Source organism: Homo sapiens, chromosome 11 (assembly GCF_000001405.40).
Source record: "Homo sapiens chromosome 11, GRCh38.p14 Primary Assembly".
NCBI classification, from domain to species: Eukaryota; Metazoa; Chordata; class Mammalia; order Primates; family Hominidae; genus Homo; species Homo sapiens.
The window spans coordinates 7,792,787-7,794,893 of record NC_000011.10 but is presented as its reverse complement, the minus strand read 5'-3'; the positions used below and the strand labels follow the sequence as shown (position 1 = coordinate 7,794,893).

At 41.0% G+C, this 2,107-nt stretch overlaps 1 annotated feature.

The window, feature by feature from the left end:
- Positions 583-1,782: an enhancer, noted in NCBI's record as "BRD4-independent group 4 enhancer chr11:7814659-7815858 (GRCh37/hg19 assembly coordinates)". NCBI's record gives its function as "activates an origin of replication core promoter dependent on BRD2, P300/CBP, MED14 and CDK7 cofactors, and independent of BRD4, by STARR-seq in HCT116 cells {active_cell/tissue: HCT116}" and the evidence as "EXISTENCE:reporter gene assay evidence [ECO:0000049][PMID:35650434]".

Sequence of the window (2,107 nt, the reverse complement as noted above, 5' to 3'; positions counted from 1 at the left end):
CTGCCTAGGAACTATTGGACTTGAAAAACAACATAGCAATGAAGTTTTGAGGTTTCCTTATTGCTTCCACATACCCAGGACAGGATCCTTTAGAAAATTCCAACTTAGGACTGCCAACAGACACAGACAAAAGCAAAAAACAAAAAACAACTGTAAGAAAAGACTGTTCTCTCCTGGTCAAAGAACTGGGAAAAGGGTGGCCTGGAGAGAAAAGAAAACATTTAGGCACTTCCTGCCTTACTCTAGACAAAAACCAATGGAAAAATTATGTTTCAGTGGGGCCAATCAGGGAGCCTGTTTTCCAACTGAACTGGGATCCACTTGCCCTGCACAATAACGCCAAACATCTACACCAGGTTTATAGCAGGAGAAAGGAGAGCATTTATTTGCAGAGTGCCAAGCAAGGAGAATCAAGCAGCCCTTGCTCAAGTCCCGATCTTTCCAATGGCTTGCAAGTAAGGATTTTTAAAGGTGGGGAGGCAGAGTTGACAGGCAAAGTCATAAATCGGAATATGGAGGCAATACATTGGTTTGACCTAAAAGGGTGGCAGATCTTGAAGTGGAGATAGGGAACAGATCATAGGTGGACTCGAAGATTTTCTGATTTGCAGTTGGTTCAGGAGGCAAAACTTTGTTTAAAACTTTGGGATTAGCAGAAAAGAATATTAGTTCTGGCCTTGGAGTGTGACCCCTCCCATGCCCATCAGGAAGAAATTTAGAGCAAAGCATGGCTGTGGTCAGACTTCAGTCCTCATTTCCTCCTTATCTGAGGTCTATGTGCCAGCAGATGGAATTTTTCATCTGGTGGGGGTCCAGGTTTCTGAAAAACAACCCAGGGACATATGTTGTTAAGATGCTATCTTAAGTTTCTACAGGAGAACCAAACATCCCGTAATTCTAACTTCCTTGGCTATTGTTTTACGCCACTATTACTTTCTTTCATATCAAGTTTCTCATTTACTTCTCAGAGCTAGCTAGGTGTCTGAAATTTCCCTTGAAAAAACTCAATTTTTTTTTCTGTTATTTCTATGCTTGAGGGGGCCCATGGATCCCTAAGAGGAGTCCCTGTTCCATCTCATGCTGATCTTCACCTTGCCCCGACTCTGATTCCCCTGCCAGGGTAATGTCAGCAGGGTTCAGTGGAGAAAGGAGCCTCCACTGTCACCTGGCAGCAACAAGACTTAATGAGATGGTGTGAGGTAGGGCTAGCTGGTATTCTACAGCCCCCATCATGACTCTCCTGCTCCAATGTGAGTGGTGGTCCAGTGAGGAGCTGAGCTTCCAACCCTCCCTGCAATGAGGTAGTGTGAACCAGCTAGCCACCTCACCTTTCCTTAGGGTCAATTGGTCCCAACAGGAAGCAGGACCTGAAAGGTAAGGAGGCATACAAATCAATGCCCTTCACTGGGATGAAGTCAACAGAGCAGTGGGGAGCTGAACATTCCCCTCACCCATCTGGAAGAAAGTAGTATGAGTCAGCTCTCCATTTTCAGCAGACTGGAACATACCTGGAAGTTTCAGCTACAGCTCAACAAGGATGACTGCTGAAAAAGACTGGGCACGATTCAGAGATTTAGAGTCTCATAATATGATATTCAGAATGTCCATGATATGGTCAAATATCAATTTTCATTCCAAGGAAAACACAACTTGAATGAGAAAAGGCAATACATGCCAACACTAAGACTAAGATGAAGCGGATATTGAAATTTTCTAACAAAGATTTAAAGCAGCCATAAAAAATGATTCAAGAAGCAATAATTAATTTTCTTGAAAGAAATAAAAATAGAGAATTTCAGCAAATAAATAGAAGTTACAAATAAGAACCAAATGGAAATTATAAAACTGCAAAACATACTCATAGAAATATTAAAAAACAACAAACTTGCTGGATGAACTCAGTAGCAGAATAGAGATACAGAGGACAAAATCAGTGAACTTGAATAAAGATGAATAGAATTTACCTGTTCTGAACAATAAACAAAATAGATTGGAACAATAAAAAAGAACAGAACACATGAACCTATGAGACAGTAAAAGAGAGCTAATATTTATATCCTGAGAATCTCAGAAGGAAAGGGGTATTCAATAAGTAATCAAAGAAGTA